Here is a 15,496-nt window from a genome sequence, read left to right as displayed (position 1 = left end):
CAAGGAGAGGCCAGGCCTGGACGCCCCCTCCCCAGGGCACGGGACACCCTGGCAGTGGGGTTTGGGCAGCTCGCCCACCTGCCGCCCTCCTCACCCGCGTCCCTGCGCCCAGCCGCCTACCTGGATTGGAGCGTTTCTTCGGGGTCTTGAGGCTCCGGCACCTGCCGCCCACGGAGCTGCTGTTCTCGCTCGTGGAGTCCTGCGCCGAGGACGCGCTGCCGGTGGCCTCGCTGTCCCGCATCACGCTCTCGTAGCCGCTGCTGCCGCCGCTGTGGTAGAACAGGGCCGTCTTCCCCATGGCCGGCGGGAGCTCCCCGCTCAGCACGCTGCTGTTGTCGCTGCCGTGGCCGCTGCTGCAGCGGTGGGGCCTCCGCGGGGGCGTGATCTTGCTGTAGGGCGACGGGAGCAGGTGCGCGGCCGCGGGCTCGTCCTCGGCCAGGGCCCCCCCGCGCGCCTCCGCCTCGGGCCCGGCCCGCAGCTGCAAGCCCCGGGCGCCCGCGCCACCCTGCAGCAGCTCCGAGATGCGCCCGCTGACGGCCCGCAGGGGAAGCTTGGAGGCCAGGCCCGAGCTCCTGTTCCTGCTGAGGGACTGCGTGGACCAGGGCGTGTGCTTCCCACCGGGGGGCGAGCTGGAGCCCTGGCCCACCGCCTGCGGCAGGGACTTGGTGGAGAAGCTGAGGGTTTTGGTGGTGGAGGCGGACGGGCCGCGCGCTCTGGGGCTGGCCAGGAGGAGTCTGCTCACGGCGGAGATCTTGGACTGGCCGGCCTTGGGCGAGGCCCCGGAGCTGGGGGGCGAGGTCCCGGCGCTGCGGCCCAGGCTCCTCCCCGCGCGGGGCATGGTGCCGTCCTTGCCCGCGTGCAGCCGGGAGCTCACGGAGGACAGGCTCTCGGCCCGCTCCAGGGAGAGGCATTCGTAGTGGCTGACTGTCGCCCTGCCCAGCGAGTTGCTTCTGCTGGCCAGCTGCTCCAGCTTGGCACTGAAGAGCTTGCTGCTGCTGCTGGCGTCCTTCGTCTTGCCGCTAGGCTCGTCTGGGAGGCCCGCCGGGAAGGCGGCTGGTTGGTTCAGGGGGCTGCTGGTGCCGCTGCCGCTGGCACTGTGCTGAGGGCTGGCCCGGTTCTTCTGGTCCAGGCTGGACTTTCGGACAGGGGGCAGAGGGGGAGTCCCTTTGGGCCGAGCCAGAACACAGTGCTTGGGGGAAGCCACCTTCCCCTCCAGGGTAGCCTTGGAGGGCGGGGTGCCCGAGGCTGCACCCACCCCGTTGGTCTCAGCAGCGCAGTAATAGGAGAGGCTGTCCGGCTCCTCCTGCCGGCTGGCCTTCTGAAAGGCCCTGGGAAGGCTGCTGGACTTGACGCTTTTGTTGGGATGCACGGGGCTCTGGGTGGCCAAACCGGGCAGGGCCATCTCACACCCATCCACGACCCTCCTGAAGTTGTCAGTGACCGGGGAGGCCGACACCTCTCCGCTGCTGCTGCTGAGCCTGTCTCCCGGACTGGGCTTTCCGTCCTGCTCCTGCTCTGCTCTGGTCTCAGCATTCGAGGGGCCCGTGGCAGTCTCACACCTCATCATCCCTTCTTCATTGGGATGAGCCGTCTCTTTTTTCACTTCCTCTTCTCGTTTCAGCCACGGGTCCTCAAATTTCATCTCTTTCTTTGCACTGTTTTCCTTACTCTCCCGGGACTGGGCTAATGTGGGGCCTGCTTTGGGGGTGGCGGTGGGGGCCTCCGGCTCTTGGATGTTCCGGGGGCTCATGGCAATGCAGGGGTAAACTGTGATATTGGTCTTCATGGGGATGTACCCCTCGCAGCTGCTCAGATTGGCCGTGTTGGAGATGGTGACCATGGCCTTGCTCACTGTGGATATTTTGCAGCCTTTGATGGGGGCTGCTTTGTTGAAAGAGTCATCTCCCATCTCAGACAGGATGAGCAAGTTGTCGGGGCTGGCCTTGGGCTTCTCTCTGCACACCACAGCGGTGTTCTGGAGGCTGCTGACAAACTCCGAGGCCACAGGTTCTGCCATTGCCTCCCCGTGCCCAAAACACGTCTGGGCTATGAAACTGTGGCACGACTGCTCACCCTCACTGCCCGCGCTCATCTCGCTCAGCCAGGAGCTGATGGAAGAGCGTCTGCTCCCTGCGTCCTGGGCCTTCTCATCCAGGCTCATCTTCGGGAGGGGCAAGAACTGTGTGATGCTGACCTCGGAGACGGGGGCCGTGCTGGAGTAGCACTCCAGGTCCTCGCTGATGCTGCTGATGATGCTGACGGGCCGCGAGCCCGAGGCCAGGGCCCGTGCAGAGCAGTCGCTGTTGAAGCTGATGATGCTGGTGGGGCGGCCGCTGTCCAGGACCCCGCTGATGGTCAGCTCCTCCACCAGCGTGAACACCAGCTCGTCCTCACCGTTCAGCTCCAGTGGCTGCTGCACCGTCACCATCGTGGTGCTCAGGATCTCCTTCTTGGACTCTGAAGGAGTAGCTGCCTGCTGCTCATCATCGACAGGAGTTTCCGGGAACCCTTCGCTCCCAGCAGACATGGATTTTTTCAAAACCTGGGGGCTCATTCCAACCGGGGGCGTACGCACCTCGGGCTGCAGCAAGGACTCCCTAGACGCCACGCCGGAATCCTTGCTCGAGGGAGGCAGTGGGGCGGGAGACGGCAGGACCCCCTTCTGGGTGTAGACTTTGCATCTCTGGGAAGGAGAGCTGGGTGGCTTGTACTCCGAGGTCTTGGACAGGCTGGCGATGCCCAGCCGGGGGGAGCCCATGGGCCTGGGCTTGCCTTCCACGAAGCCGCAGGAGTTGAGGCTCTCCCGGCTGCTCTGGAGGCTGGGGCTCTGCACGAGTGGGGAGGCGCTGTGCTGGCTACTGCTGCCCGGGACGCTCCTGGGTGAGGCCGGGCTGGGGCTGTGGGCGGGTGCCGCGGCGGGCACAGGTGAGTGACTCCTCTGCATCTTGGAGGCTGGGAGTTCAGGGCCTTCTCTGTTGGTCAGCTGACCTTCGGACCCATTATCTTCCTTATCAGACTCAGAGAGTGGGCTTGCCCCCGCTGCTTGGCTTAACCGGGGGCCTCTGCTTGCCTGCTCTGGCCCAAACTGAGCAGGCAGTTCTTCGAAAGGAAAGCTGCTGGGCTCCTCGCTGCCGTCGATGCAGTCCAGCCTCTCCTGCAGCTCGGCAAACGTGTTGCACTTCAGGCAGTCCCTTTCTGACTTGCCGGCTGCAGCCTCTCCTGCCTCTGCGGGCCGGCTGTCGCCCCGGGTCTTCTGCAGGGCTGGCACGATAGGGACAAAGTCTGGGGGGCCCTCGTTGTCGGTGAGCTCCTTGTCAGAGAGGGCCGTGCCGTTGGGCCCGATGTAGATGACGGTGTCGCAGGACTGCTCGCTGCTGGAGGAGTAGTCGGGGTCGCTGGACAGGTGAGCGATGGGGAAGTCAGGGTCCACCGTGGCCCTGGTGTGGAAGGGTCTCAGCTGGGTGGGCCTGCGCATGCGGCCTTCTTCGCAGGAGCTCTCCCCGCCGGACGAGCTGGATGTGTACTGTGAGTGAGACGGCAGTTAATGTGGTGGCCTTTCCGTGGCAGTTTCCCCGGGAGCCCAGCTGTGCGCGGCAAGTGGTGAAGGCCCCTGACGACACAGGCTACTGACAGCCACCCCCGTTGGCCTCCCGCACGTGGGCCACTCGGGGTGCCATGCCCGCGCGCCCGGTGTCACATCACCACTGCATTTGTGAAGGGGAAGCCCCGTGTGGCACGCTGGGGAAACAGCTGCTCAGGAAAGGGGGTGACCATCCAGGCCCTGCCTGACCAGCTAAGGGCTGCTGGCTCACCAATGTTTGGCACCCTGTGCCGTGGAACTCTGGTTAAGAAACGCTATTTAAAGATAAAAAAGGTACAAAACAGAGAAGGGGGAAAAAGGCCCCCACCTCAGCAGCTGCCCCTGCCACTGAGTGGCCACGATCATGATGGTTTTCTCAACTACTTGCCACCCTGCCACCATCCTGGCTTGGCCTCTGCCTGAGAAAATGAGCCCAGCGATGTCCAGCAGACTCAGTATCATCCAGAAACCACTGAATTGCCAGGACAAAAGCAGCAGCCAGGGAGTGACTCCTGGACATGCAGCAGGGGAGGGGCCCTGAGAGCAGGGAGTTGAGAACCTCTTTGGTGCCAAGCCTTCGAAGGACACAGTCTCCACCTACGCAGGACCGAGGCCATGCATGAGAAAAACAATATTTTCCATCCCTCCAACGTTTTTCCTCTTGAGGTAGCAATCCATTTGTACTCTCTAAAGCGGACCAAGTGCTTCCGGTCAGGGGTCCAGGCTGGGTGACCAGGGCCAGCACCAGGTGTGGGGAGGTGACATGACTTTGTATCAGCCCCAAGGTTTCCCTGCCCCAAAGTGGACCCTGAGCCACGTGTTGTCAGCTCCAAGTCACATCTCCTGATGCTGGGGGATTGGCAACGTTGATTTGGCTTTTTCTGACTCTGTTCCAGGGCACGGCTCCAAAGGCTCCCTCATCCACCACCCCCCCACCCCGCGAGCTCCTTACCTTCGTCTTCTTTTTCTTCATCCTCAAGACTCTCGATGCAATCTGGATGGTGGACAGGGTCTCCGCGTAGCTCCCGACCGCGGCCGAGATGTGCGCGATCATGGTGGTACGGCAGTTCATGTTCCCCAGAGACTCCCGCAGCAACATGGCGAGCTTGCTCTCTCTGCCAAACAAAGTGAATTAGGCTGCATTAGCGGCCATGCTTCCCTGTGGCCCTCAGGGCAGGGCTTCAGGCCTGCACACGGCCATTTTGTTGTGGGTGGTGGTCCCCCCACCCTTTTTAATGGCATACTAATTAGCATCATTTTCCAGCATGGGGCTATTTGTAGTTGGCAAGCACCGAGCAAGTGCTTCTAACTCCAAGATGGAATCTGTGCAAAGCACCTCCCTTGGCGCTTCTGTCCTGGCTGTGATGGGATGTTCCTGGGCGTGTGTGTCTGTGACATTATACATAATGAGGCCTGGGAATAGAAACAAGAGGAGGGGATCAGGAGAAAGGGCTCTGTGCCTGGTGACTCGGCTTGCTGACTGCACGTGTGGCCTTTCTCCAGGGTTTCCACACACAGACAATCTTGCAACAAAAAGGAGTCCCCCTGCCACGAACCTGGATTAAAGATCGGTGGGTTTTTAATACCTGCACAGTTCCTTTAGCCAGGAAACTGCGGCTACTTTATTGGCATTGTCCCTTAACTCGCATATTTGCACCTAGTAGCACTGAAGGAAAAGGCATTCATATTCCTGAAGACTAGGGGAGAAACACAGAGAGAGGCCCAGCCAGTCACTCTATCCACAACAGAAAGCAGCACTTCCTATAGAGAGGCCTCCTCTGGCAACTGTGCAGGTGCTGTGCGGGGCCACTGCCCTGAGTGGTGATAATGAGGCCCTGGGGTTTGCAGGGAGTGTTGCTACGTCTTTGAATAGACCTGGAGAAATGGCTGGTTTTCTGTTCCTGTACTCGTCCCAGCATTTTTCCTGCCTTGCTTTTAAAGGCCTCTGTTTATTTCATCAACAGCACTCATACTCTCAACTGCTGCCAAATGTCATTGCATCTCTGGCACGTTCCCTGATCCTGAAGGGCTGAGGAAGCCTATTTCCCATGCCGCGTGCTCATATCTCCATGCTGTGTCTGCGATTCCAGATGAGAGGAATTCGTCCCCATGTCCATGTCTCATCACCCATCCCCTGCAAAGCTCCCTGGAGAGGGACTATCCAGCTCAGCAGACACTATGGGAGACTCAGGCCACTGTCAGCAGAGAGCAGACCATTTTACACGTGACCTGCTTCTGGCCTCAGGGAGGGAAGACTGTGGGGTAAGAGCAATAGCTTTTCCTTCTCATCTGGGATCAATTAAGGTGTAAGTTTGGCGACGCTGGGCTAAAGCTCACTTCCAGAGCAATGTAAGAATATACCAGGGCTTCCCTTCCAGCAAAATGACCAGTGATGAACGTGGCGAGGTAAGGGATATAGAGGAGGAGGAGGAGGAGGAGGAGCTGTGAAAGTTTAACTCCTTCAGAACGTTATCTGTCTAGCAGAAACCCACGGACAGCCGCACTCGACGAGGAAGCCAGGCCCCATTCCTGGCACACATTCTTAGCAGAGACGTTGCACCTGGATGCGTCTTGGGCTCTGTCTTCAATATGCGCAGTGGAGGGTGAGTTCTGCTCAGTTAGGTTGTGATCATATACAGTCAGGTCTTACATGAGTAGTGGAGGGTGAGTTCTGCTCAGTTAGGTTGTGATCATATACAGTCAGGTCTTACATGAGTAGTGGAGGGTGAGTTCTGCTCAGTTAGGTTGTGATCATATACAGTCAGGTCTTACATGAGTAGTGGAGGGTGAGTTCTGCTCAGTTAGGTTGTGATCATATACAGTCAGGTCTTACATGAGTAGTGGAGGGTGAGTTCTGCTCAGTTAGGTTGTGATCATATACAGTCAGGTCTTACATGAGTAGTGGAGGGTGAGTTCTGCTCAGTTAGGTTGTGATCATATACAGTCAGCTCTTGTTATTCATGGTAGCTGTGTTCTATAAAATATTTGTGAACACTGAATTTGTAAATACTGGGCCATTGTTCTTAGGGGAAATACAGTTTGGTGCAAAAGTAATTACGGTTTCTGTCATTTCGATGACTTTTTTTTTCTTTCTTTTTTTCCTAAGACAGACTCTTGCTCTGTTGCCCAGGCTGGAGTGCAACGGCACGATCTCGGCTCACTGCAATCTCCGCCTCCCAGGTTCAGGGGATTCTCCCGCCTCAGCCTCCGGAGTAGCTGGGACTACAGGCACGCGCCACCACACCCAGCTAATTTTTTGTATTTTTAGTAGAGACGGGGTTTCACCCATGTTGGCCAGTCTAGTCTCAAACTCCTGACCTCAGGCGATCCGCCCGCCTCGGCCTCCCAAAGTGCTGGGATTACAGGTGTGAGCCACTGCATCTGGCCCATTTCAATTACTTTTGCACCAACCTAACGTATGGTTTAGGTTTCTGTGAACCTCTGATGACAAAAGTTTCTTCAACTGGTCAATACGTAACCTTGTTAATAAGATGCTTTATTTAATACGTTTCTTCAAAATAATGAATTATATTTGGTATTTCTTTAAAATAAAACACTAGCCAAGAAGGGTTTAATACTTTCCTTCCCTTGGGTAACATGATTGTACATTTCTTTGGTGTCTAGCCTCACACCAATGCTATCTATTACATTAAATGTTCTCATCATCTGATGAATCCACACATTCAGCCACTTTTCATCTCTTCCATGGCTTCCTCATGTACTATAGCTGTTACCTTAGCACTTTCCAGAGTGGCCCCACATACAGATGGGCCGAAGGCGCATCCCCCTGTATCTCCACGTGACCCTGTGTAAGTCCCCAAGAAAACATACCAAAGACCGGCCGGGCGCGGTGGCTCATGCCTGTAATCCCAGCACTTTGGGAGGCCGAGGTGGGTGGATCATGAGGTCAGGAGATCAAGAACATCCTGGCTAACACGGTGAAACCCCATCTCTACCAAAAATACAAAAAATTAGCTGGGCGTGGTGGCGGGCACCTGTATTCCCAGCTACTCAGGAGGCTGAGGCAGGAGAATGGCGTGAACCCGGGGGGTGGAGCTTGCAGTGAGCCGTGATCGCGCCACTGCACTTCAGCCTGGGCGACAGAGCGAGACTCTGTCTCAAAAAAAAAAAAAAGAAAAGAAAACTTACCAAAGACCGGATAAAAGGATGTAACGTGGTGACATCAAGCTGGCTGCCCTGTGCGCTTCCTCTTCCTTTTTCTGGGTGTGTGTATTCTTGATTCATTAACACTAGACCCCCATGAGCACTGTAGCTCCTACCTGAAAGAAGTGTGTCTAACACATGGATTTTCTCCATAAGGCACATCACAGCCTTCCTGTGCTTAGGGACCCTAAATAGGACATCAGCACCATTCTTGGGGGCCGTTTACAGCAAAATAACCATCAGAAAGCACAAAAATATGAAAAACACAGTGCTAAGGAGACTGCAAAAAGGACACATGTGCACGATATGAGAGCCAAACGTGAAGGCAGAGCTTTGCACGCTCCACCTCGGCGGGGAACGCGTGCATCTGGCGACTCAGTATCTTCACCCCTCTGCCCGTGTCGGAGAATGACTGTGAAACCGCTGTATTGATTTTGGGGTTACAAATGCATTTCAGTGAGTAGGTGAATGTGCAAATACAGAATCTGCAAAAGATGAGGACTGCCTGCACTCTGAAGTTCCCCGTCGTCTTGTTAACCCACTGCACACAGCTGACGGCAGATCCCCTGGGTCTCCATGTGACATTACCCAGGAAGACAGACCAAAGACAGAATTGAGAGAGAACATCGTGATAGCGAACTGCCTGCCCTGTGTATTTCCGCGACTCCCCACCCATGACTCAATCACATGGTAAAATGTTTACTGCGACTCCCCACACCTGACTCAATCATATGGTAAAATGTTTACGGCGATTTTTTTAAGTCTACATTGTGGAAAGAAGCAGCGGCATGTATGCTGCTTAGCAACCGGCATTTTAGCTCTCCTTGTGGAAAGCAAACCGGTAGAGCTGCTGGTGAGCCCTTCATGTGGGCCTCTGCGGACTCTAAAAGATGTCCTTTGGGGAGTAAAACATGGTGCATAGAAAGCTGCGGCTTTCCCAACCTCATGATGATCATTTAACTTGGAATAAAGACAACCAAGTAAGGGAGGGCAGGGGAGGGAAGGGGCAGGGTACTGAAGGCTGCAAACTGTAGGAGGAACTCGGAATCTTTGGAGGGAAAGAGAAAGGTTCAAAAGAGTTTCCAGGGCAACAGTCAGCACAGACTTAGCCCACTCTTTGCATCAAGTCTGAAGAGAGAGGAAGAGAAAAGAGGAAGAAGCGTGCAGGGCCGCTGGCCACCCCCTCCCCAGAGCCAGGCGGGAGGGATGGAGGGAGGTGGTGCCTGGAGGGGTTTGGGTTGGGGGGCCCTGGCTATGGAGGACAGGTTGGGCAGGCACAGGAAGGGACTGGGGATGGAGCAGAGCTGACGGGGGCCTGAGGAAGGACCGCACCGCTCTTTCAAGTAGTTGTGTTTACGCATACATGTTTCACTCCCTGCCTACACTGACCACACTTGCCTTTGAAAATAAATTTATGCTGGGCACCGTGGCTCACGCCTGTAATCCCCACACTTTGAGAGGCTGAGGCGGGCAGATCACCTGAGATCGGGAGTTTGAGACCAGCCTGGCCAACATGGTGAAACCCCATCTCTACTAAAAATACAAAAATTATCTGGGCATGGTGGCGCGCGCCTATAATCCCAGCTTCTCAGGAGGCCGAGGCAGGAGAATCACCTGAACCCAGGAGGCAGAGGTTGCAGTGAGCCGAGATTGCGCCACTGCACTCCAGCCTGGGTGACAGAGCAAGACCTTGTGTCAAAAAAAAAAAAAAAAAAAAAAAAAAAAACACACACAAAAAAAACACAAAAAACCCCCAGATTTTTAGAAAAATGTCTTTTTAAAATCAGTGAACACTTATTAAACAAGAAAAAGGACAAAAAGAACAGGATAATGAACACACTTTAATAATCATTTTTAAAGGCATGAAAGAGCATGTTATCACTCAGGCACAGGGCTGACCAACCAGGGTCCTGCAGGCCCAAGCTGGCACACTGCCTGCTTTTGTAAATAAAGTTTTATTAAAACACAGCCACATCTATTTGTTTACATAGTGTCTGTGGCTACTTTTGTGCTACAATAAGAGTTGAGTGGTTGTAACAGAGCCTGTGTCGCCCACAAAGCCAAAAATGCTCGCTACCTGCTCCTTTGCATAAGAAGTTTGTTGACCTCTGCTCTAGAGTAACCGGGAAACAGTATCATCCCAGACACTGAACCACCAAGCAGAGAATGCAGGTCCTGACTACACACCAATCCATGGCTTTGAGCAGCAAAAACGGAAACAGGCACATGAACTGTAGGCACACAGCCAGCCATACGCACAGGCATGCTCTTTTCTAGAAAAGGGAGAGAGTTTTTGTCTTGCTTTTTTTTTTTTCTTTTTTGAGACGAAGTCTTGCCCTGTCACCCGGGCTGGAGTGCAGTAGTGTGATCTCAGCTCACGGCAACCTCCGCCTCCTGGGTTCAAGCGATTCCCCTGCCTCAGCCTCCTGAGTAGCTGGAACTACAGGCATGCACCACCACGCCCAGCAATTTTTTGTATTTTTTAGTAGAGACGGGATTTCACCATGTTGGCCACGATGGTCTCAATCTCCTGACCTCGTGATCCTCCCTCCTTGGCCTCCCAAAGTGCTGGGATTACAGGCGTGAGCCACTGTGCCAGGCCTGTCTTGCTTTTTTTTACAGTAATACCTTGGTTGAATTTAAGGATGGAAACTACACACACAGAATTCTTACACGCATGAGATAGCCAAGATAACAACAACTAATATTTAAATGCCGAGAACACTGACTGGTACCACTCGCACTCTTAAGGACAGCACCCTGGAACTACATCGATTCCAGTAACCATCCCACGCTCTACCCACTTCACCTGCAACGTGCCAGAACGCGTCGTAGAGAGATGGAGATGCTGGATGAGGATTGCCAGGTATCAAGCCAGCTCCAAGAGCTCTGATCTCCCAGCCCTAGGCCCCAAACCCCAGGGCCCTGCATTCACCCTCTGACCACCAAGAGGCGGCTGCAGAGTGAAGAGGAGAAGGAAGCAACACCAGAGGGGGACAGAACCACGGCTTTGAAATACACGCTGACTGTTCAAATATCCTCCTCACCACTGACCCTGCCTCCTTCCTATTTACAGCCAACTATCTGTGAAGATCCTTTTCTTTTGTCCCCTGAAAGGTCACCAGTGACCCTTGGAGACCAGCCTGAGATGCCAGGGACCAGGGTCCCAAGCCATCATCCCTGGCCCAATGCTCCTGGCCAAGGTGAGCAGCATCTCCGCAGTTCCTTATCCCTCATGGGAAAGGCTGTTCTCAAGGGAAACCATCACCAGCTCTGCTGAGGGCAATTCTGCCCCAAAGGGTCTCCTAGGTCTCAAGTAAGTGTCTTTATTATTTCTGACAGTGTTGAGTTGCGCCAGACTGAAACACATACCTCCAAAAGGGAAAATCACTTTATTTTTATTTTATTTGAGTTTACTTATTCCTAAGGGACTTGATGATCTCGCTGTCCATGACTGCTTCCTGAACATTCCTACGTTTGAGGCAAGACTTTGGACGCCTCCCCTCTGGGGAAGGTATCTGCTCTGCAGAAGTGGCCTTGTCTTGGCAACATTCCCTTCAAGGATGCTAATGCCTTAGGGCATGAATTACTTGCTTTGGGGTACTAGAGAAGTACCAGAAGCTTGGTATGGGCTGAGCTATCCTGATGGCATTTTCAGAAGGAGAGGTACGTGAAGTTAAAGTACTTGCTGCTCAATTTCAGATAGATAGTACTTTGTTTGTACTGCAAATGGCATAAGCAGGTCTGTCCTGCAGGATGCTGGGAAGATGACTGCATAACATTCGTGGGATAGAGAAGCCAAGTTCTCAAGTCTTCCGATGAAGGTGACTCTGGCTTGTGTAATAAAGTATTGGCAGAGATAGCCGAGGCCAGCATGCATGCTAGAGGTTCTGCAAACACTGTCATTCGGCAGTGTACACGATGATTAGTTGTCTCATCAAGGAGAGCTTAGAAGAGGTCCCTGCAGAGAACCACCCACTCTGGCTGAAGGACCAGCCTTTGTGATCCAACCAGCACACCTCCTATTATGAGGTCATGTCTTGCTTATCCTGAGACCGCTGGTTGGCAGAGGTCTTGAACTATTAAGAGTACATGAAGTTAATCTATTTATTTGCTCATCGATCTCTTTTTATGAAACACTGTAGAACCCTGAGGTGCAAGCAGCATCATTTGAGATGCCTCTGAGGCAGGATAATGCGTGGGAGAGACGCGTTCTTCCCGACACCATCCTGGTCATTTGGGGCTGGCACCATGATGGCTCTGGAATGTTGGTGGCTGTGCCCAGTGACAGGCAGGAGAGAAGTGATGGTTCCCCGTGGGGCCTGCGATTCTTGGTGAAGCAGCAGTTGTTTCCAGGAGGAGACGTGTGATGAGCATTCATGAGAGCCCTCAGGGACATCAGAAAATACTGGATGGAAAGAGTTTGCACCAAGTGGAGGTTTTACATTGCAAGTATGGGCTGGAGCCAACAAGTCTCTGTTATGATTTTAATAGTTGCCACTGTACACAGAGGAGGATGAAGTCTGGATGAAATTTGGGCCACATGAATCTATTGGATCCTAGATACCAGCATTCTATTTATCTGAATAAGATAAAATTCATGGCAATTCAACCTACTTCTGGAGAAAGACCAGCTGTAGACAGCAAACAGTCTCAATAGAATCTTTTAGAAGAAATATATGATGTAACTCCAATTTATAAATAACAGAAGGTTTCAAGTCAAAATCCTAACCAATCTGCTTTGATCTCATTGAACAAGACTCGCTTGCAATGAATGACTGAAGTGGATATAAAACATGAGTTCACTTATATGTGTCCCATGAAACTTTTATTACTCATTTATCCTTCTTACCTAGAACAATGAACATCATCGCAGTGACAACCATGCAGAATTAGCAGAACCTGAATTACTCCAGATATTCTCATTCTTAAGTTCTGCTCAGGAAGTGTATATTCATGCCAAGGCCATGGCACTCAGGTACGATATTAGAAATTTTCAAGGTAATTCACATAATGACTTATGAAAGAAATAGTCCACTAATTCCAGAATACAATTCTGTCAAGATTGAAAACTCTTTTTAGGGCCACAGAGTATTAGACTTGAAAGAATTTGGGAGATTATTGCATTTCCTAATAAAAGCACTGCCATGGTAACAGGTGATCTGCTTTCTGCTTGAATATTTTTAACTTGGGAGAACTTACCATATCCCAGTACAGCCTGTGTAATATTCTGAATAGCCTCAATTATTAGAAAGCTCTTTCTTCTATTAAACTTAAATCTTCTTTTTAATAACTTCTAACCCATGGCCACTGGCTTTGTTCTCTAGGATTATATGGGGTAAAAATAATCCCTGTTGCTCACATGGGCCCCTCACACTTTAAAGACAGTTATCATGTGCTTCTATCATGTTACCAAGACAAGGCCACTTCTGCATGGCAGTGCTCTTATTAAGAAATGCAATAATCTCCCAAATTCTTTCAACTCCAATACTCTATGGTCCTAAAAATGTTCTGTTGTTTAAGAACATTCCATGTTCCTTCCATTGCTCTTCAGATACTTCGTTCATCCAAGCTCACACTAGCCCCTTTCCACCCTCACAATTTAGCACTTCTCAGGTCAGGCTTGGGTAGTAAAAAATTTGACCTTTCCCAAAGATAGATGTGGCCTTTTCCATGAGCTTCTGGGAGGTAAACTACATCATACTCACTGGGAGTGCCTTTGTTATGGTGAGGGTTGGCCACATAAGATCTTAGGGTAGGATGGGCCATACCTGATAGTCATATGGTCCAAGCTGGTTGCAAGAGAAGGATCAACCATGTGATTTAGGGCAGGGGCTTTGGGGTCACACAGTACCAGTCCACCTGGAGACTGAGTTAGACCACATGGGAAATCAATCAATCAATCATGCCAATGTAATGAAACCACAGTAACAACTCTGGATACAAGGCTCAGGTGAGCATCCTGGGTTGGCAGTGCTCCACGTGTACCATCACACACGGATGCCGGGAAGGTAATGTAATGTGTCCTGACGACAATGGAAGCGTCCCTTTTGAAACCGTCCTAGATTCTGCCCCATGTGTCTCTTCCTTTGGCTGATTTTAATCTGTCTCCTTTCCAACATAATAAATTGTAGCCATGAGTATTTTCCGTGAATTCTGTGAGTCCCTCTAGAGAATTACGAGCCTGAGGGTCGTTTTGGGAACCCTCCAAACATGCAGTTGTCACACGTGACAGTGGTCTTGGGTGGGCTCTTTCTGCTAACTTTGTAGTTGGACCCTAATTGCTTGCAGTAGGTGTCAGTAGTCTTGGGCCGACTTGGCAGACTGGGGGCCGTGCTCTCCATGTTTGAAGTTTGGCTGATTCTGAGGAGCTCATCTCAATAAGATCCTAAGAACCTTGACTATAAGAGCTGTGTTTTCATTTTGCCCTTTCTTTGCAGTAACTCAGCCAATATGTACAACTTATTAGCTCTAGGTCAGAAAGGAGAAAATCCTACATTTATTTTTATTCAATGTAGCATAATCAGGAGTTGGAATGTCATCACTTTGATGAAAACCCAAAACAACAACTTAGAAGGTGAATTAGTGGACTTTATAGACAAATAGAAAATAATAGATCCATAGATTTCTCCTGAATCAATAGACTGCCAAAACTTACATATTCTAATGAAGTTAAAGATGAAATGAAGATGTGCTGAAAGATTCGGTAATAAGACCCTGTGCACTTACTGAGCATGCAGACTGTTCTTTAATAGATGTGTGCGTATTTGATCCACCTGCAGGATCAGATTAGGAATAATGATGTTTATATCATTACTGCAATTTAGAATGCAAACACGACTCTGACATGTTTCACATTGTCTGAAGTTTCACTTCCTTTTAAATTTTTTTTTGGCCTGAATCATTATCCTGAGTTATCAGTGCTTTGCAGTAGACATTTCCATAGACCTGTCATTTTTCACAGAGCCTTTGCAACGGTCTGTGACCAGCTTTACTGGTGGGGGGGATAAGGAAACATCTCAGTTATGTTGCATTATAACCATTACACATCTTTTGAGTCAAGATGAGCTCATTGTACTATTTAGAAACTTTGATCTCCTTCCACTTTAAATCATCCTCAGGTTTAGGAGTATGTGCTAATCACAGTGCCAGAGATCTCTGCAGCAATGCAAAAGGGACTTAGGCACTGCTGGGTGAGAGAGAAGGGGTCAAGAGTCATGTTGTCATAGTAACCCAGAGGCTCTCCCTTGATTTTTTCTTACTCTTGTCCTTCCCCAGGGACTTTTAAATAATTCTCAGGAAGAAAGAAACTGCAGAGCCCAAGTGGAATTCTGGATATAATGAAATCCTGCCCCAGCCTGGTGGCTTCTCTCAGATCTTTCCTCCCGGCTTGCCGCTTCATCGTCTCTGAACCTCCTGTGTCTCCTTCGTGATAAACTTGCATTTTTAGAACATTCCTGTGCTTTTCCATGAGTGTGAGTGAGTGTTTCAGGTAAGAAACATATGTGAAGTTTATATTTGATGTGGCATTTTGACAGCACCCCTTTCTGTAATTCAATCTACGATCTCCCTTCAAGGTTGACATTAGAAGTGTGTAGAATCTGGGCTTTGAAAAATCTGCAGGTGTATTCAGAGTTCTTTCAAAAAGACGTGTTTACTAAATAAGGCCAGGAAATATCTGAAAGGGTTTCATTTACTATTTTCTATCTGCCCCCTAAGCAAAACCCTAAGATGGCAGCGCGCAGCGGGGAC

At 51.5% G+C, this 15,496-nt stretch overlaps 1 protein-coding gene and 1 long non-coding RNA gene across 2 annotated transcripts in view; one reads left to right on the top strand and one right to left on the bottom strand.

The window, feature by feature from the left end:
- The window catches only part of KIF26B (kinesin family member 26B), a 554,448-nt gene that overhangs the window by 20,505 nt on the left and 518,447 nt on the right, over positions 1-15,496 (bottom strand). The window contains exons 11-12 of the mRNA NM_018012.4: positions 4,533-4,695; positions 121-3,523 (exon numbers count right to left, since the gene is read on the bottom strand). Coding sequence (NP_060482.2) covers positions 121-3,523; positions 4,533-4,695 — 3,566 coding nt within the window. The remainder of the gene's footprint in view (positions 1-120; positions 3,524-4,532; positions 4,696-15,496) is intronic.
- LOC105373265 (uncharacterized) overlaps positions 1-15,496 on the top strand; it is a 32,746-nt gene that overhangs the window by 9,981 nt on the left and 7,269 nt on the right. The window contains exons 4-5 of the long non-coding RNA XR_007066988.1: positions 4,477-6,183; positions 15,023-15,236. This is a non-coding gene — a long non-coding RNA (uncharacterized LOC105373265). The remainder of the gene's footprint in view (positions 1-4,476; positions 6,184-15,022; positions 15,237-15,496) is intronic.

Source organism: Homo sapiens, chromosome 1 (assembly GCF_000001405.40).
Source record: "Homo sapiens chromosome 1, GRCh38.p14 Primary Assembly".
NCBI lineage: Eukaryota > Metazoa > Chordata > Mammalia > Primates > Hominidae > Homo > Homo sapiens.
This window is presented reverse-complemented; position numbering and strand designations above follow the sequence as displayed.